The sequence below is a fragment of the Homo sapiens genome, chromosome 22 (genome assembly GCF_000001405.40).
Source record: "Homo sapiens chromosome 22, GRCh38.p14 Primary Assembly".
Taxonomy (NCBI): Eukaryota; Metazoa; Chordata; class Mammalia; order Primates; family Hominidae; genus Homo; species Homo sapiens.
Window position 1 is genome coordinate 41432831 of NC_000022.11, and position 17797 is coordinate 41450627.

Below are 17797 nucleotides of genomic sequence, written 5' to 3' on the forward strand. Positions count from 1 at the left end.
AGGTTTCTCTCCTAGATGGGCAGCATTGATAGGCACAGGCCCTGGGAAGGGGAAAATATGGCCCGGGCCACTGGGAGATAGCAGAGCTCCTAAGGAAATCGGCCACTGGCAGAAGGGTGGCTTTCTCTGGGCTGGGCTGTCTCACTCTTAAGGCAGCTCCGAAATTGTCCAGCCCAAGAAAAGGGTTGAGAATCCAAGCACCGGGCTTTTGGATGGAACCTGGCTTAGGCAAGCTGTTCTCATCCTTGCCCACATCTAAGGATCTAGTACTAAGGATCAAGTACTAGATCTAGAGTAGGCTGGAGGCTGTCCCCGCTCTCCTCCCCCCAGGAATAGACAATTCCTAAAGAGCCATGAAGTACCCCGTTCTCCAGGCTCTGCTGCCACCACCAACTGGCTAAGGGAACTGGAGCGGTTTCTAACTTTGTGGAACCTGTTTCCAGTGTAGAAAAGCATCTGCGGTAGCAAGCACAATGATGTATCCTGTGTTGATGGGATGGATAGGTGGTCAAGAAGGGGCACCAGGACAGTTATGTCCATCCGAGGCTGTCACTGTAAGGAGGACCAATCGTTTCTTGGAGTCTGTAAGGGCTGGGCCACTCCCATTCTCTCCATCCCAAAAGGGACCCCAGAAACCAAGCAAGCCAGGAGCAGGCAGAAGGCTATTATGTATCATGCTTTTAATACAAACTTAAAAAAATCTGGAACAATAGAAACTGTACAGATTTGATCAATCTTTTTGTTTTGTTTTTAAACTAAAATCTCTAAACACACCAATGTCCCATTCCAAAATATTGCACAACATTCTGAATACAAAACCCTTGATTGTATTCCTCCTTCACTAAAGAAAAAAGTTCATGACCCTGCTCCCCGGGCTCCTCTCCAGGCTTGCCTCAATGCCCCCTTCCCATCCCTAGGGAGAAAACTAGAGAATCTATAACTCACTGCATTGAGAAAAACACATCATTCTGGACTAACAGTTTCCATTCTTCAGAAGATAATCCACCTTTTGATTTGTTCCTGGGAAAGAGGGATAGATAGAGGATGGGGAAAGGGGAGAAAAGGTTTTATTTCTCCTCTTTTTTTTTTAAAGTTTGTTTTTCCTGAAAAAATATGTTTCTCTCATCTTTTTAAGAAAAAATCTTGAAAAGAAAAAAATTATGTTTTTTACGTTAGAAATATACATATATTATATACCTCTTACATTTTACAAATGTAGCAAATTATTCAATACAAACGGACACCAAAAAATGTAAAAAATAAAAAAAAGTTTTCCTACGAAACCAGGTAAATTAGTGCAGATTTCTGTTTTTGTATTCTTAAAAAAAATAAAATTGAAGCAAAAATGCCTAGATTTGAGACAAGACAGACTGAACTGGGCCCAAGAGCGCAGCACTGGAGTCATGCTCCTGAACACACATTTTTCTTCGTATTTCAAAAGACACAAAGGGGTTGGTCTCCCCTCTCTCCCTACATGTGAGAAACAAGCCGACCTGGTGTGGGTGGGTGCCTGTGTGTGTGGATGGGAGGAGGGCTAGAAGGGGATGTAAGGCAGCATCCAACCTTTCCCAGAGAGAAGCTATCTGCTGGGTCTGTCACCTGTGTGGGAGCCGAGGATGAGGGAAACAAAGGGTGGCCCAGACTGGGCTGGCCCCTGAGAAGTCTAGGGGAACAGATGGTGCTGGGCTGAGAAGCCAGGACATTGCCTGCCGGGGGAGGTAGAGCTGGTGCCTACTGCAGGGAGAGGAGGCTGGCAGTGCTGGCCTGGGCTGGACCCACTGCCATAACAGTTGCCTACTTGGGGTCCCTGGGTAGGATGGAGTGGGTGGGGTGCCAGGGGCTTTGGTGCTTTCTGGTGATTGGGACCCTGATGCCAAGTGCCCACTTTGCAAAGAAGAAAAAGTTAATGACCCTGCTCCCTTGGCTCCTGTCCATGCTTGCCTGGCCTCCTAGAGTTGGAGGAACAAGCCCTCTCCTGGCAGAGGCAGGAGAGCAAGTGCTCTCCTATGATCCAATACATCAGGCGGGAGTGCTGAGTCCGTCAGGACACCACTCCTCGCAGCATCAAGGTCCAGTGGGGTTGGGTCAGGGCAGTGAGAAGGGGTGGCAAGAGGTACCAAGAAGCTCTCAACCAGGCAGGGGCACAAATGCACTCAACACCTCCAAACTAAGAGACCCCAAAGTCTCAACTCCAGGCTCAGGGCTGCCCCCGCACAGACACTAACTCTAAAATCCCACCCTGCCTCTCTGCCCACCCCCAAGGGTGCTCAGGTGAGCAGCTCCCTCTGGGCTAAGGCCAAACAACAGGAGGGTTGAAGTCCAGGGACTTCTCATAGGCATCAGGGGCTTGGGTATTCCCTCTGCCCTTCAGAGCTAACTTATTATTATTTTTTTGGTCAAAAACAAAACTGCAGATCCTTCCACAGTCTGCAAACCAGTTCCTTCTGCAGTGTTTTCCTCTGGGAGTGTCTTGGGCTAAGCCACAGCGGTGTCACCCCACCACACACACTGCCCTGCAAAAGGACTGCCAATACCCCCAGCCCATTCCCCAGCCTCACATATAAATAAGGACTTGCGACCCAGAATCACATCCAGAAGGGAAGTTTCACATGGCTTGGAATCCTTTAAAAAAGGACAGCAAACCAAATACACACACACACACCCCTCCCTACCCACAACATCCAGCCTGGGGAAGAAGGGGCTGCATGAGGGAAAGAAAGCCCATACACATCAATGGCCAGGGCCATGATGATGGTCTGGGCCTAGAGGGAATGGTGGGGTGGGGCCATAGGACAGAGATGAAAGGAGTTTCACTAGACGAAGTGCTAATCTCCCTGTAGTCACAGACATCAGCTCCAGGGGGAGGGTGTCAAGTGGCCAGCCAGCAACTCCCTGTGGCCCAGCCTGAAAGGGAGTGGGGACTGGGGTCAGACCTATTCAGGTGGCAGGGCCCGAGAAGGCCTGCTGAGGTTGGATGGCTTTGAGTGCGAGGATAGCTGGGTGACAGAGGCAGTGACACGGGCCAGCCTCTCCCTGTTCCAGGGAGGGTCAGGCTCCAGCTGCAGCTCTTTCTTCCCTATGAGCTTGGACACATCAATCCTAAACTAGGAGTGTGAAGGAGGAAGGGAGGAGCAGGGAGCAGCAGTTCACATCTGGACCATTCTTAGCACAGGAAGCCACTCATTAAAGATGTTATATAGAAAACTACATGTAAGAAAAAAAAAAAAGAAAAAGAAATATAAAACCCAAACCAACCAAATAAATCACAGGCCGGTGGGCGAGCGGTAAGGGGTGAGTGAAACACACTTGGGTGCTTTGCAGGGCCCTCCCATTCCGTGCCTGGGCTGGATCTTTTTTCTAGAAGTAAGAGTGAGAAGATCGAAAATCTTTTTGTACATTTTTCTTTTCCTCTTTTTTTTGGCCTTTCCTTTCTCTTTTCTGTGGTCTTGGGTGCTCCTGGCCCCACGGGCAGGTAGATGGTCAGTTGGCCAGCACCACGGGCTGGAACTGCTGGCTGGGATACTGCATGGTGTTCAGGTTGTAGCTGAGGCCTTCCACAAAGGGTGTCTTCTCCAGGAAGAGGCTGTTGGCACCACCTCCAAATACCTGGGCCATGTCAAAGCTGCTGCTGTTGCAGGTGCCAGCCCCACTGCCTCCAAACGGGCCTGGGGTGCCGCTGCCCTGGCCATCGGCCGCATCAAAGAAGAGGCTGGGTGAGCCACCACCGTTGTACACGAACTCCTTGGCATTGGGTGAGAGCTGGGACTGAGGGGCCGGGTTGGCCGTGATGAAGTTCAGTGAATGCATAGACAGAGAGAGGCTCTTGTGCTTCAGCAGGCTGTTGGTGGGTGAGCGGGCCATGCGAGGCTGCTGTGGTGGCTGCTGGCCACCCGCCCCACTGCTGGCTACACCCCCACCACTTGCTGCCCCGCCCCCCTTCTTCATCTTAGTGGAGCCAAATTTGGTGGCAGCGAAGGAGGCGGTGGTGAAGGTGATGGGCTGAGCGGAGCGGGGAATGAAGGTAGGGCTGGGTGACTGGCCAAAGGATGGCGATGGGGAGTTGGACAGGGAGCTGTCCTGGCTGCCAATGGGCACGAACACCTGGGCGTCAGGGTTGAAGCTGCTCTTGATCTCCTTGTCCAGCTCTGGGGCACCGCAACCCTCACTGTCATCCAGGTACAGCACTTTCACAGCTCCCTTCTCACCAATCTGGTAGGACACCTCAAAGGGATCAATCCAGACACTCAGCTCCTCAGGCACATTGGCCCGCACATCTTCCACCGCCAGGCCACTCCGCTTGGCGGCCAGCTCCACCACGGGGTCCACCATCTCCCCAATGTGAACACAGCGGAAGCCAGAGCCTTTCAGTGGCTTCTCAGGGTACCAGTGGCCTTCATATTTCTTTTTCAAAAGCCGCTCTAGCTCCTCCCCAAACAGGTCTGCCCGGCGCCGGGGCAGCTTGTTGTACAAGTAGGAGATGATGAAGTTCAGGGCCACTTTGATCTCTAGCTGCATGGTCCTTTCCTAGGCAGAGAATCAGCACAGGGCACGTGTACAGCCTTGGGCTCCAGGCGGCTCTGGGAAATGAGAGGCACCGTGAGAAAATATGCAGAAAGCTGGTGGTGACCAACAGCTAGGGATAGACAGAAAAGCACCAACTTTGGATCACACAGAACCAGGAGCCTATTTCTGCCCCACCAGTGGCTCATGTCTGACTGTGGGCCCCAGTTTCCTCATTAGTAACATGAGGCCATCATGAAGTTAAGGTAGTTCAAGGATATAAACTGCCTCACAGTGTACCTGGCAATTAAAAGGTAATTGATAAAGTTAGCTACTATTGGCCGGGCGCGGTGGCTGATGCCTGTAAGCCCAGCACTTTGGGAGGCTGAGGCAGGTAGATCACGAGGTCAAGAAATCAAGACCATCCTGGCCAACATGATGAAGCCCCATCTCTACTAAAAATACAAAAATTAGCTGGGCATAGTGGCGCATGCCTGTAGTCTCAGCTACTTGGGAGGCTGAGGCAGGAGAATTGCTTCAACCCAGGAGGCAGAGGTTGCAGTGAGCCGAGATCATGCCACTGTACTCCAGCCTGGCGACAGAGTGAGACTCCATCTCAAAAAAAAAAAAAAAAAAAAAAAAAAAAGCTACTATTTTAAAGTAATTCTAAAGAAATAGGGAAGCTGTGTTTTCCACCATCTTGAGAATTCAGGTCACTGTATGAATGACACTAAAAAAATCAAGTCCCTAAATCAGGTGAAGAAGAAGTCTCTTGCTGTCTCTGCAATATCTTGGTGAAGTCGTGCCCCCAAACTGTCACAGACTAAGATGTAAGTTTAAAATATTTGGTTGTCCTCCTTAAATGAAAAGGGATACAGGTCACTGAACAGGAAAGAGCACTGCCAATTCTTCACTGGGGGCCTGGACTCCAGTCACATCCATCTGTCATCATGGGCCCCATGGGTGTGTATGCTGTCTGGTTCAGTCCAGGTTTGCAGAACTGATTTAAGAACTCCGGCCAGGTGCAGTGGCTCATGCCTGTAATCCCAGCACTTTGGGAGGCTGAGGCGGGTGGATCACCTGAGGTCGGGAGTTCGAGACCAGCCTGACCAACATGGAGAAACCCTGTCTCTACTAAAAATACAAAAAATTAGCCGAGCATGGTGGTGCATGCCTGTAATCCCAGCTACCCGGGAGGTTGAGGTAGGAGAATCGCTTGAACCCAGGAGGCGGAGGTTGTGGTGAGCCGAGATCGCACCATTGTACTCCAGCCTGGGCAACAAGAGCGAAACTCTGTCTCAAAAAAAAAAAAAAAAAAAAAAAAAAAAAAAGGAATAAGACATAAGACAAGAGCATGAGCCCCAGGAAAAAGGCAAGACCTGTCACAATCAGAGATGTGGACCAACAAGGGAACTGCTGACTCGGGGCTGCCACAGGGAAGCAGAGAAAAGGAGGGGGAATCTCTGTAGTTTCTGGTGAGAATGTAAGTGATGAGGGTGGCAGAGGAAAGAAATTTTCCATCACCCTGCAGCCTCCGGTAGGGACCCATCATCACTCAGTCTCCCAGGGACTGTCTGACCACCTGTCCTCGGCAGCAGATCAGATTTATCAAGTGTTTTGAGATCCCCGGAGAGAAGGCAGCCCAAGATAAACACCAGATTGTTATTTTGGGATTCTCTCACAGCCAGATCCCACTGAGGTCAAAAAGGTTTATTCCCTTGGCCTGGGCCAGCCTCATGTCTCAGGAAGATGATCTGTGAGGTCCTGAGAGCCAGTGATCCTAATCTCATTTTCTCCAAAAGGGCAGCTCCGGGGCTCATGCTGGGGGAGAAACTGAACTGAAAGAGCCATCTCTGAGAGGAGGCAGAGCCAGAACATGTTCCTAGCCAGACCTCTGGGCAAGGCTGTGCTGCTGAGCTAAGCAAAGAGACATGACTGCTCCATGAACTGTCAAGGGCATCTTCTGTCCTATGAAAGACTTGGGGCTGGATTTTGATTCAAATCCTTTCTGGATCCAGCTTGAAGTATCCAGGTGCTAATTTCAGGCTTGGGGATTTTGAGTTTTCTAAACACCTGCCCCAACACATTTCCCTGTAATTCTCAGGCCTGGGCCCATGGCTCTTAAGGGGCATTTAATTTAATTTAATTTTACGTATGTATGTATGTATGTATGTATGTATGTATGTATGTATGTATGTATGTGGAGACTGAGTCTCGTTCTATCGCCCAGGCTGGACTGCAGTGGCGTGATCTTGGCTCACTGCAACCTCCACCTCCCAGGTTCAAGTGATTCTCGTGCCTTGGCCTCCTGAATGGCTGGGACTATAGGTGCCCGTCACCACGCCTGGCTAGTTTTTGTATTTTTAGTGGAGATGGGGTTTCACCATGTTGGCCAGGCTGGTCTCAAACTCCTAACCTAAAGTGTTCCGCCTGCCTTGGTCTCCCAAAGTGCTGGGATTACAGGCATGAGCCAACACACACGGCCTTAAGGGGCATTTTTGGGACTAAATCCTCAGAAAAAGATTTCTGGGGTGAATGTATCAGAGAAGACTCACTGGGTCAATCTGGAGCAGCATGACAGTGGCTGAATCTAGTTAACCCTCATTTCAGTTCTGAGGAACAGAGAAGGTCACATGGGAGTCAGCAGAGGTACCACAACTATGCCTCTCCCAAACCCTCCACAAGAACACTCAGGACTCAGAATACCCTGGTTTCCCTCTTTTCCCAGCCTCCAACACAGACTTCATCTCTAAGTTTCTTCAAATGTCTATTTTTTTCTTTTTCTTTCTTTTTTTTTTTTTTTTTGAGACGGAGTCTTGCTCTGTCGCCCAGGCTGGAGTGCAATGGCACGGTCTCGGCTCACTGCAACCTCTGCCTCCCCGGTTCAAGCGATTCTCCTGCCTCAGTCTCCCAAGTAGCTGGGATTACAGGCGTGCACCACCACTCCTGGCTAATTTTTTTTTTTTTCAGTAGAGACGGGGTTTCCCCATGTTGGCCAGGATGGTCTCGAACTGCTGACTTCGTGATCCACCCACCTCAGCCTCCCAAAGTGCTGGGATTACAGGCATGAGCCACCGCGCCTGGCCTCTTTTTCTTTTTTTGAGACAGGGTCTCACTCTGTCACCCAAGCTAGGGTGCAGGATCACAGCTCACTGCAGCCTCCACCTCCCTGGGCTCAGGTGATCCTCCCACTTCAGCCTCCAAGTAGCTGGGACTACAGGCATGTACCACCACACCTGGCTTTTTTTTTTTTTTTTTGACATGAAGTCTCTGTCACCCAGGCTGGAATGCAGTGGCGTGATCTCGACTCACTGCAACCTCTGCCTCCTACGTTCAAACAATTCTCCCACCTCAGCCTACTGAGTAGCTGGAATTACAGGCATGCACCACCACACCTGGCTAATTTTTGTATTTTTAGTACACACGGGGTTTCATCACGTTGGCCAGGCTGCTCTTGAACTCCTGGCCTCAAGTGATCCACCTGCTTCAACCTCCCAAAGTGGTAGGTTTACAGGCCTGAGCCACCATGTCCAGCCTCATTTTTTTTTGTATTTTTATGTAGAGATGGGGTTTTGCCATGTCACCCAGGCTGTTCTTGAACTCCTACGCTCAAGTGATCCACGTGCCTCAGCCTCAAATGTCTATTAATGATCAATACAGACCAATTTCAGGGCTTTTTTGGGTATAAAAAGTAAGGATAGTAGAGGCCGGGCACGGTGACTCACGCCTGTAATCCCAGCACTTTGGGAGGCCGTGGCGAGTGGATCACAAGGTCAGGAGATTGAGACCATCCTGGCTAACACGGTGAAACCCCATCTCTATAAAAATACAAAAATTATCCAGGCGTGGTGGCACGCAGCTGTAGTCCCAGCTACTCGGGAGGCTGAGGCAGGAGAATCGCTTGAACCCAGGAGGCGGAGGTTGCAATGAGCTGAGATCGTGCCATTGCACTCTAGCCTGGGTGACAGAGCAAGACTCTACCTCAAAAAAAAAAAAAAGTAAGAATAGTAGAAAGAATAAAGGGCTTTCTGTTTATGAGGATCAGGCTCATCAGCAGATACAAAACTACCCACCAGAACCATGAGCCTTCTCTCAGGAACAGAGGTCTGAAGGGCCACATAGTCCATAGAGGTGTCCAACAAGGAGCAGACTAAAAAGTTGTGAAGAGCCAGGTGTGGTGGCTCACACCTGTAATCCCAGCACTTCGGGAGGCCAAGGCAGGTGGATCACTTGAGGCCAGGAATTCAAGACCAGCCTGGCCAACGTGGCGAAACCCCATCTCTACTAAAAACACAAAAATTAGCCGGGCATTGTGGCTCATGCCTGTAATCCCAGCACTTTGCGAGGCTGAGGCGGGTGGATCACAAGGTCAGGAGTCCGAGACCAGCCTGACCAACATGGTGAAACCCCGTCTCTACTAAAAATAAAAAATTAGCCGGGTGTGGTGGCACACGCCTGTAACCTCAGCTACTCAGGAGGCTGAGGCAGGAGAATTGCTTGAACCCAGGAGGCGGAGGTTGCAGTGAGCCAAGATTGCGCCACTGCACTCCAGCCTGGGCAAGAGTGATTTTTCTCAAAAAAAAAAAAAAGAAAAGAAAAAACCCCATAAAAATTAGCCCAGCATGATTGCGGGTGCCTATAATCCCACTACTCCGTAGGCTGAGGCAAGAGAATCGCTTGAACCTGGGAGGCAGAGTTTGCAGTAAGCCGAGATCATGCCACTGGACTCCAGTCTGAATGACAAAGTGAGAGAAATTCTGCCTCAAAAAAAAAAAAAAAAGAAAAAAAAGTTGTGAGGAAAGTTGATACTGGTTCCCTAGAATGGAACCTGTTGTTAAAGACAGTGTTTCCAAAGTATTTTTGAAATCTAAAACAGACTGAAGTCAACATATGATACTTCTCCCAAGGTACTGCATGGCCTCTTAAAATGCACCTCTTGGTATTTCCACTGAGAGCAAAGGGTTTCTACACCTTTCTAAGCCTCCTCAAACCTGGCTGCATAATTGCCTTCCAAGTTAACTACTCCTGAACAGTTCGGCCTCAAAATGAGAGCATTTTAAATGCAGGCCAAAGTCATTGGGAAATAAGCCTCCCACCCCAAAATACAATAGAACCACTGTCATCAGCCCTGCCTAGCTAACCATTTTCTGCAGCATAAGCAACTAAAGCTGCACACCAATTTATACCTCAGTGATGTTGCCGCACAAATAAGGAAGCATATAATGCCACCTTTGCCTCTTTAATTAGAGAACAGGCTGGACCAGATGGCTGTGGGGTGGAACCTTACAAAAATGATGGACAACCAGAATGAGATTTTCTGCTCTATCAGCTCAGGCTCTAATTTTGACTGCAAGAAGCTTATGGAGCAGAGGATTAAAGCACTGGTGCTGGCTTGTCTTTAGCTAAAGATAGGAGTGGCCATTCAGAGGAGTTTGTTCATTTTTTAAAAAGCTATGAACAAATTCTAGAGCTTATATATAAAATATTTATGGAAGTATGGTAAGATTAGAAAGCTTAGAAATAACTACCTGTCAATAAAGGGAACAAGTAAAGGGATTCGCTTAAGTGGCTGCAGAGGACACTAAGATCTTTTCTAACCCCAGTGTAGGCACAAACGGCGAAAAAGGGAGCAAGAAGAATAAAAATGGTGAGGTGTTTAACAATAGCAAAATCTCCCTTTTGTCAACCTATTAAAAAGGGCAAATATGAGAGCAAAATTCTGTCCAATTTCACTAAGAATTTTATCCTCACTTGTTTACTTCCAGCAGCAAAGTTAAACCTGGATTCTGATCCCTTGTGCTGACTTGTGTTTTAAAGAGCAGGTGCCTAGGAGAAAGACGACGGGGGAAGAAGTGGGGCGTGAAGCTCAAAAGAAGCCTCAGTCAGTGCAGATTCCAGAGAGAACTTCTGATAAAAATGTGAGGAAGGTGTGTGTGTGTGTCACACGCGCGCGCATGTGTCTGCCTGCTCTAATGTCAGAAGCGAAGGAAGATTTTTTTCCCCCCCTCGAGACAGTCTTGCTCTGTAGCCCAGAGCTGGAGTGCAATGGCGCCATCTTGGCTCACTGCAACCTCCGCCTCCTGGGTTCAACCAATTCTCCCGCCTCAGCCTCCCGAGTAGCTGGGATTATAGGCACGCGGGACCACGCCCGGCTAATTTTTGTATTTTTAGTAGAGACGGGGCTTCACCATGTTGGCCAGGCTGGTCTCGAAATCTTGACCTCGTGATCCGCTCGCCTCCGCCTCCCAAAGTGTTGGGATTACAGGCGTGAGTCACTGCCTAGCCAGAAGATTTTTTTTTTTTTTTTTTTGAGATGGAGTTTCGGTTTTGTTGCCCAGGCTGGAGTGCAATGGCGCGATCTCGGCTCACCGCAACCTCCGCCTCCCAGGTTCAAGCGATTCTCCTGCCTCAGCCTCCCGAGTAACTGGGATTACAGGAATGCGCCACCACGCCCGGCTAATTTTGTATTTTTAGCAGAGACGGGGTTTCTCCAAGTTGGTCAGGCTAGTCTCGAACTCCCGACCTCAGGTTATCCGCTGCCCGCCTCAGCCTCCCAAAGTGCTGGGATTACAGGCGTGAGCCACCGCACCCGGCCGGAAGGTTTTTCAGAAAGAAAATTCTGTTTCAAAGAGGAAAAGGAGGGATAATGGTGATGGAATCCACTGAGCCCCAAACCCAAAAAGATACTCAGACACCTCTAAGCCTTAAATGTGCAAACTGTCCTACAATGACGGACTACAGGACTCAACTAAGTGTGGAGGGGCCAGCAGGTGTCACAGACCGGGTGGATGCGAGTGCCCTGCCGCTGTCCGGGGAGTGAGAGCCAAACGCAGGCAGCTCCTCTCCTTGGTGAGACACGGGATCCGCCCCAACTCGCTGGTCCCAGAGGCAGCGGCCCAGACAGGCGGGTGTGTATTGAAAGGCTTCCAGGACTGGTGCTGACTGACTGCAACACCGCGCCCAGTCTCTCATCATCTCCCCCTAGACACAGACCGGTCAACCTTAGGTCTGACAACAAGGCCCCTTTCGGCTATGAAGACCCTTTCTAGGGCACTCCATGTTCCTCAGGAGCTAGGAAAACTCGACTCAACCCAAACGTAGGCGGAGAGGCGGGCGGTGAGGGCCCGCTCTGCACTCTGGGAATTGTAGTCCTCAAACACCTCCGGACCAGGCGATAGCAGGAGTGACCTACTTTCCCTGCACACTACACTTCCCTGAGCACTTTGCGAAGGCCCAACTGGCCGCAATACGCATGCCCGGTAAGGGGAGCCGACCGAGGGTCGAAGAGCCCAGGAAAAGTTTCCGATGCACATGCGCGCTGAGGCGGGTCGGCGCCCCCCTCCCATCGCCTAATACATTTCATGTAGATTCTACCCAAAAGGCCTACTCCCCGTATTGTATGGCCCCACCACATCCTCTAGGCTTTACGAGAGCCTAACTTTCCCACCTTTCCCTTCATCGCCTCCCATTACTGATGAAACTAGGATCTGCTTCTAATGAGTTTTTTCTGGGTGAAGGGGGTGGGCTGGCTTAGATAAGGTCACGACCCCCTTCCCCCCACCCAATCTGAATTCCAGGGCCTGGGCGGTCCGTGTGGGGTTGCTGGATGGACGGTGGATTCAAAGGGAAACGGATCTTTTTCACTTAATGCCTAGCGGACTCGGCTCCAGCACCCCAAACAGCCAGGAAAGGAAAGGCAGGAATCAAACCCAGTTCTCCCGTCCTCTCGGCCAAAGAAATTTCCAGTCAAGCTGTGGGGAGGCGCCAGGCCAAGGCCAGCAGGGCCCAAGCCTCACCCCATTTCTAATCGAAGACTGAGTAACCAGATCCGGGAGAGGGAAATAGGAAAAGGTTCCCAGGCAGAGAAGAAAAAAACTGTACACCTGACACCTGAGCATCTTCTCATACTAAAATTCTGTGTGTCTCCTCCCATTGCAAGGTCTGCTTTACGACCAGACTTACCAGATCCTCGGCAAGCTCCCCCGCTGGGTGTTAAACCTCCTTAATCCTTCCTCCCACACAAGCTTCTTTCCCCCTATGCTTCACGGAGGGATGGGGGTAGAAGCCCAAGAAAGCAATAGGATTGTTTTTCTGCCGGAAAATCAGAGATGAAGGACCCATTCCCAGGGTACGGTGGGTAAGAAGGAGAAAAAGACCGTTTAGATACGGAGTAGCACCAGAGACTGGCCTCCACCCGTCCCCAAGCTGAAGCTTGCTGTGCGGGGTTCTGGTTTCTCCTGGGGGAGGGAGAGGGCCTGCCGGCTGTGCCTCCTCTCTGCACCCTCCTTCCCCTCCCAGATTTCTGGTGGTCAAGGGCACAGTTCATCCTCCGGACAGGAGGGGAAGGAGTTTGGGGGTAGGGCCCCACCTCGCAGGCACCTTACCAAGATAAGCAGAATCCACTCACTGGCACTGCTCTAAGGGTACTTTTTTCTGCCCAATTTTCCATTAAAACACTTAAGAGTATAAAGAGCTCAGCCGAAACGGTGAACTCTGGCTCAGTGGCCCAAGGACAATCTCCACTGACCTGTCCCGTCGCCAAAGGGGGTGTCCACCCTCCACCCTTCAGGCTCCACAGAGCCAGAAATAGAGTCTATTAACAATTACCACCCCCCTTCCCTGCACACGGGAAAAGAAGCAGAAAAACAAGGCCTGGATCCCCTTCCTTCCTCGGATTTATTTAACGGTGGGGGGAGTTATGTTTCTTTGGAGAACAAGGAAGATCTAGCGAGTAGCTAGGATATAAAGAACCGGGGGAGGCGGGGAAGGGAGGAAATGCACCCCACCCAGGAGAGGGCCACTCTTGGAACTGGGAGAAAAAGGAGCTCTTGGGCACCCCAGGAGCACAGATGGCGTGAGAAGAGGAGCTGGGGAAAGTGGGGTCTGGAGGGAAGCTGGATGGGGAAAGAAAATGCTGGCCAGGCGGGGAGGGAGCGGCAGCAACGTGGAGAGTCCAGCAAAGCGGGAGTGGGGCGGGGTGGAAGAGGTAGTCCGGCCGGCTGGGTCTCGGGGCGGGCCCCCCGCCCGCACGCCCCCCAACTCACTCACTCGGGTCTCCGCGGCGGCGGGGCGCTCTACCGGCCGCGGGGCGGCTTCTCCCTCCAGGGTGGCCTGAGCGCGGGGCGGAGGTCGCTCTCCTTTCCTTCCCGGGCGTCGCCGGGCCAGGGGACCGAAGTCCTTTTCGTCGTTGAGGGTTGGGGGACGAAGCAGGGGGCTATGGACTATGACTCTCAATAATTTCTTTCAGCTCTTAGGAGGTCGGGCTCGGCAGCGGGGGGCCCGAGGGCGGGCGGGCGGACTAGCGGCGACGACGCGGGGATGGCGGATCGGAGGGTGGTTCGTGTCGCGCAACGGCAGACGGTATGGGCTGTCGCCGGCAGACGGTCCTGCCCTCCTGGCCCCGCGTCGCCCGAGCCACGGCTTGCCTCAGCCAACAACCCGCACCTTCCCGCGCCCCGGCCCGAAGTGAGCAAAGTCAATGAAAAGTTTCACCCTTAGCAACCCTGCGCACGGATCCGGCTTCCCCACCCCTGCGTGATGCGTCCCTCCGCCCTGCAGGGGCGGGGCCAGGGCCCGGCCGGGACTACTTCCCAGCCAGCCCCGCGCCTCAGCTCGCTGGTATCTCGCGGAGCAGCTCCTGTGCCCTTCTGTGCTCGCCGGTCGTGCGTCCGGCTCCCCGTCTTCCCCTCCCTGTCACAGCGCCGCGCCGCACTCCTTTCCTTCATTCCCATACCACTCTGAACTTGTGCGCGTCGTGTGAGGTGTTCTCCCAGGGGCGCTCCGTGAGGGCCGGGGACCACCTGGGGCCGGGTTGCTCACGAGCCGGGCACAGTGCACTCTCCCTTTAGTTGTGTTTGGGGGACGAGTATCGCGGGGGAGGGGAGGGAGTCACCATGCCCGCCGGAAACCCCCCGCTGAGTCGTCCGCCCTGCACCTGCCTCGGAGCCCATGGTTCGGACGTTTGCCCGAGCCGTTTCCCGGGGCCTTCCCTCCAGCTCCGAGCGTCTGGCCGTGTCCGCGGCGATAGCATCGCCCCGTTACGGCCTCTGCGGGAGGGGGAACTGAGGGGACGACGCGGGCTCTGGAAACATTTCGGACCCGTTTCGGGCAGGCATGAGTCTTCCGAGCGCCTTGTGATTCCTCGGGGGGCTCAACGTCGAAAGAAAGGCGAGGGAGACTCTGGGGCCTGGGCCACGCTGTGCGGGAGTAAGAGGAGCCGAGGACGAGGCTGACGGCCGTGAAACTAGCCGAGTGCCACAAAGGACCTTCCCCTCACCGCCTCTGGCGCTCCTTTCCTTGCAGCCTGGAGGGCCGGCTCTGGCTCTGCGCAGGCGCGCGGGCGCAGCCCCTCTCCCAACTCTTGTTTGCTCTTTCTGGCCAGCGACCCCAGTGTGGGGCACGCGGGAGAGCCCCACATTTCTTCTAGTCGCAGTCCCGCCGGCGTGGGGTGGCCCCTGACCGTGCAACGGGCGCAAGGCTCGCACCCACTACGGCCCCTCGGGCGGCGGAGCGAGGCTCCGCGAACCCGGGACTGGGCGCGCCAGGCCCGCGCGCTGAGGCCCCCTCCCCCGGCTCTGGCCACGCGGGCTGCTCTGCCTCTGTGAGTGTGCGGGACACAGAGCCAGGGGGAGGGAGGGCCGTGTTCTGCGGTCACAGGCAGACAGGAGTGCCGGAAGATGCAGTCTGGAGCCCCCGGGGGACTGTGAGTGAGGTCTTCTCCCCGGTCCCTCCTTAGATCTCCCATTTCCCAGTTCTCCCCTCCCGCCCACACCTTTTTTGTCATTCCAGACGGTTCCGGCCCAGCAGCAGCCGCCATCCCCACGTTGGGTGGCGAGATCCGAAAGTTTCCAGCTACGAACAGTTTGCTTTTTTTTTTTCCTTGATCGCTTTTTTTGGCAAGGGCGGAGAGCACCAGTAGCGTGGGGGGTTTAAATGCACTTTCCCTGAATGCAACAGAGAAATGCCGGGCTGGAGGGCAAACTCCACCGGGACAGGGAGGCGGGAGATAGCCTGAGCGCCCCCCCATCCCCCACACTCTGAGCGTCGCAACCCCGGGGGCACCTCCAGGGACTACTTGCCTTGTGCGTCAGCGAGTGACAGCGTCACACACACGCCCCCTCCCGCACATGCCCGCTGCACCCTCCCTTTCCCCCTCCCCTTCCCTTCTCTCTTTTCCCCTAGCTCTTCCCACCAGGCAGAGAGGCTCAGCCGACCCACACGCTCCCAGAGCACTGAAAGCTAAAAATATAGCCGGTGTGTTAGCAACAGCCTTCCCATTGGTCGGGGGAAAGGGAGAAGCGGTGTCTGATTGGGTTTAGGATCCAGCCGCTAAGACTGGGCCCTTGGGAGTGTGCGTTTGCGCCAGCGGGCACGGCAAGGGATGCTGGTATTTGTAGTCATTGATTAAGGCAGCCATGTAAATAGGTGGGTTTACATCCCAGTTCGGCTACCGACTGTGTGATCTTGATTTAATGCAGCAAAACGCTTGACATCACCAAACCTCAGTTTCCCCATCTATAAAATGGAGCTCGTGTCGGGGATTAAATATGATGCTGTATGTAAAGCCTGGCTCAAATCGTTGCTATTCTTAATTTAAAGATTAGTGTTTGGGCCAAATTGCCTCTGCACATCCTGCATATCCTGGGCTGAGTATGGTGTCCACTCTCCAATGTGAAACTTCTGACAATGGTAAAGGTGAAGGTGAGCTGAAGCGAGTTGTCCTACGGCATCTTAGGAGGAACAGCTGGAGTACATATAAGCAGTTAGAGGGTAGACGTCTTCTACCATTCCGGACAGGTTGAGGGAGGGCGGACTGAATCCTTGGAAGGAAGGCCATGAGTTTCTGCATGTTTGTGCGTTTAATAGAATCTCTTCTGCAACGCTGGAAAGACATCAGCCCTGAGTAGCATCATTAGAATGAAATGAGAAATCCAGCCTCCTTGGTGGGAGCTCTGGGTAAAAGGTTAGCATATAAGTAGGAAAAGATAAAATCGAGGGGAAAAAACGTAACCGCCCTTCTCAACTGCTGATGTCTCCATTTATCATGTGGTGATGAAGTTTTTTTTTCCTTCCCAGTGTGTGATTACATCTTGCCAGGGCTTAATTGTGAGCTGAATGCCTACTCAGGCATTCCAGATTCCCCTCCCATTTTGAATAATCATATGTTGAACGGCATGCACCGTGCTTGCAAAATAGTGAGCTCCATGAGCAAGCAAGTGAGGCAGGGAGAAGGTGGGGGCACATCACCTGTCTGAGAGTAAGCAAGATGTGACGCCATGACAAGTCAGGCTGGTCATAATTGGCCCCAGTTAACTCGCATAGATGCGTCACCCTTTCATACACACTCCAGGGCAAGAAATTTTGTATTGTTTCTTTGAAGTTATCCAAGAAAATACTTCCTCAATTTGATCTCTTCAGCAGGTGCAAAGGAAGAAACTGGCTTTGGGGAAGCGTGGTTGCCTACTTAAGAAAAATTATTTTTAAAAAATTTTTATTTATTATTTATTTTGAGACGGAGTCTTGCTCTGTTGCCCAGGCTGGAGTGCAGTGGCATGATCTCGGCTCACTGCAACCTCCACATCCTGGTTTCAAGTGATTGCCCTGCCTCAGCCTCCCGAGTAGCTGGGATTAGAGGTATGTACCACCACACCCGGCTAATTTGTGTGTGTGTGTGTGTGTGTGTGTGTGTTTTGAGACGGAGTCTCGCTCTGTCGCCCAGGCTGGAGTGCAGTGGTGCGATGTCGGCTCACTGCCAGCTCCGCCTCCCGGATTCACACCATTCTCCTGCCTCAGCCTCCGGAGTAGCTGGGACTACAGGCGCCCGCTACCACGCCCGGCTAATTTTTTTTTTTTGAGACGGAGTCTCGCTCTGTTGCCCAGGCTGGAGTGCAGTGGCACGATCTCAGCTCACTGCAAGCTCCGTCTCCCGGGGTTCACGCCATTCTCCTGCCTCAGTCTCCCGGGTAGCTGGGACTACAGGCGCCCGCCACCACGCCCTGCTAATTTTTGTATTTTTAGTAGAGACGGGGTTTCACCGTGTTAGCCAGGATGGTCTCGATCTCCTGACCTCGTGATCCGCCCGTCTCGGCCTCCCAAAGTGCTGGGATTACAGGCGTGAGCCACCGCGCCCGGCTAATTTTTTTGTATTTTTAGTAGAGACAGGGTTTTACCGTGTTAGCCAGGCTGGTCTCCATCTCCTGACCTCGTGATCCACCTGCCTTGGCCTCCCGAAGTGCTGGGATTACAGGCATAAGCCACCATGCCCAGCCGACAAATGATTTTTTATATATTCACCAAT

General features: G+C 52.5%; 1 protein-coding gene and 1 long non-coding RNA gene across 5 annotated transcripts, besides 6 other annotated features; one reads left to right on the forward strand and one right to left on the reverse strand.

The window, feature by feature from the left end:
• Nucleotides 1-663: 663 nt before the first annotated feature.
• TOB2 (transducer of ERBB2, 2) lies at nucleotides 664-13971 on the reverse strand. Of its 4 annotated transcripts, none has more exons than NM_016272.4 (2): nucleotides 13549-13971; nucleotides 664-4577 (listed from the first exon to the last, which is right to left on the reverse strand). In NM_016272.4, the coding sequence occupies exon 2, from the start codon at nucleotides 4513-4515 to the stop codon at nucleotides 3481-3483; it is 1035 nt and encodes a 344-aa protein (NP_057356.1). In that variant the 5' UTR covers nucleotides 4516-4577; nucleotides 13549-13971; the 3' UTR covers nucleotides 664-3480. The 4 variants fall into 4 exon arrangements, with proteins under 4 accessions (NP_057356.1, XP_005261372.1, XP_016884028.1 ...); XM_005261315.3 differs by having other exon boundaries at nucleotides 13545-13971; XM_017028539.2 differs by having other exon boundaries at nucleotides 12463-13971.
• Nucleotides 4066-4569: an enhancer, noted in NCBI's record as "H3K4me1 hESC enhancer chr22:41832900-41833403 (GRCh37/hg19 assembly coordinates)". NCBI's record gives its function as "activates a minimal SCP1, AML or CMV promoter by ChIP-STARR-seq in naive H9 embryonic stem cells {active_cell/tissue: H9 hESC(naive)}" and the evidence as "EXISTENCE:reporter gene assay evidence [ECO:0000049][PMID:30033119]".
• Nucleotides 11516-11635: an enhancer, noted in NCBI's record as "active region_19114". NCBI's record gives its function as "activates an Ori minimal core promoter by ATAC-STARR-seq in GM12878 lymphoblastoid cells {active_cell/tissue: GM12878}" and the evidence as "EXISTENCE:reporter gene assay evidence [ECO:0000049][PMID:35858748]".
• Nucleotides 13741-14436: an enhancer, noted in NCBI's record as "H3K27ac hESC enhancer chr22:41842575-41843270 (GRCh37/hg19 assembly coordinates)". NCBI's record gives its function as "activates a minimal SCP1, AML or CMV promoter by ChIP-STARR-seq in primed H9 embryonic stem cells {active_cell/tissue: H9 hESC(primed)}" and the evidence as "EXISTENCE:reporter gene assay evidence [ECO:0000049][PMID:30033119]".
• Nucleotides 14115-16063, forward strand: LOC105373043 (uncharacterized). Its single transcript, XR_938274.2, has 2 exons — nucleotides 14115-15202; nucleotides 15289-16063. It is a non-coding gene; the product is annotated as an uncharacterized LOC105373043 (long non-coding RNA).
• Nucleotides 14183-14432: an enhancer, noted in NCBI's record as "active region_19115". NCBI's record gives its function as "activates an Ori minimal core promoter by ATAC-STARR-seq in GM12878 lymphoblastoid cells {active_cell/tissue: GM12878}" and the evidence as "EXISTENCE:reporter gene assay evidence [ECO:0000049][PMID:35858748]".
• Nucleotides 14437-15132: an enhancer, noted in NCBI's record as "NANOG-H3K27ac-H3K4me1 hESC enhancer chr22:41843271-41843966 (GRCh37/hg19 assembly coordinates)". NCBI's record gives its function as "activates a minimal SCP1, AML or CMV promoter by ChIP-STARR-seq in primed H9 embryonic stem cells {active_cell/tissue: H9 hESC(primed)}" and the evidence as "EXISTENCE:reporter gene assay evidence [ECO:0000049][PMID:30033119]".
• Nucleotides 15003-15102: a silencer, noted in NCBI's record as "silent region_13790". NCBI's record gives its function as "represses an Ori minimal core promoter by ATAC-STARR-seq in GM12878 lymphoblastoid cells {active_cell/tissue: GM12878}" and the evidence as "EXISTENCE:reporter gene assay evidence [ECO:0000049][PMID:35858748]".
• Nucleotides 16064-17797: the final 1734 nt, after the last annotated feature.

Bases quoted from the DNA above. Each gene is read 5' to 3' on its own strand.
- TOB2 (NM_016272.4), bottom strand. From the start codon at position 4,515: ATGCAGCTAGAGATCAAAGTGGCCCTGAACTTCATCATCTCCTACTTG.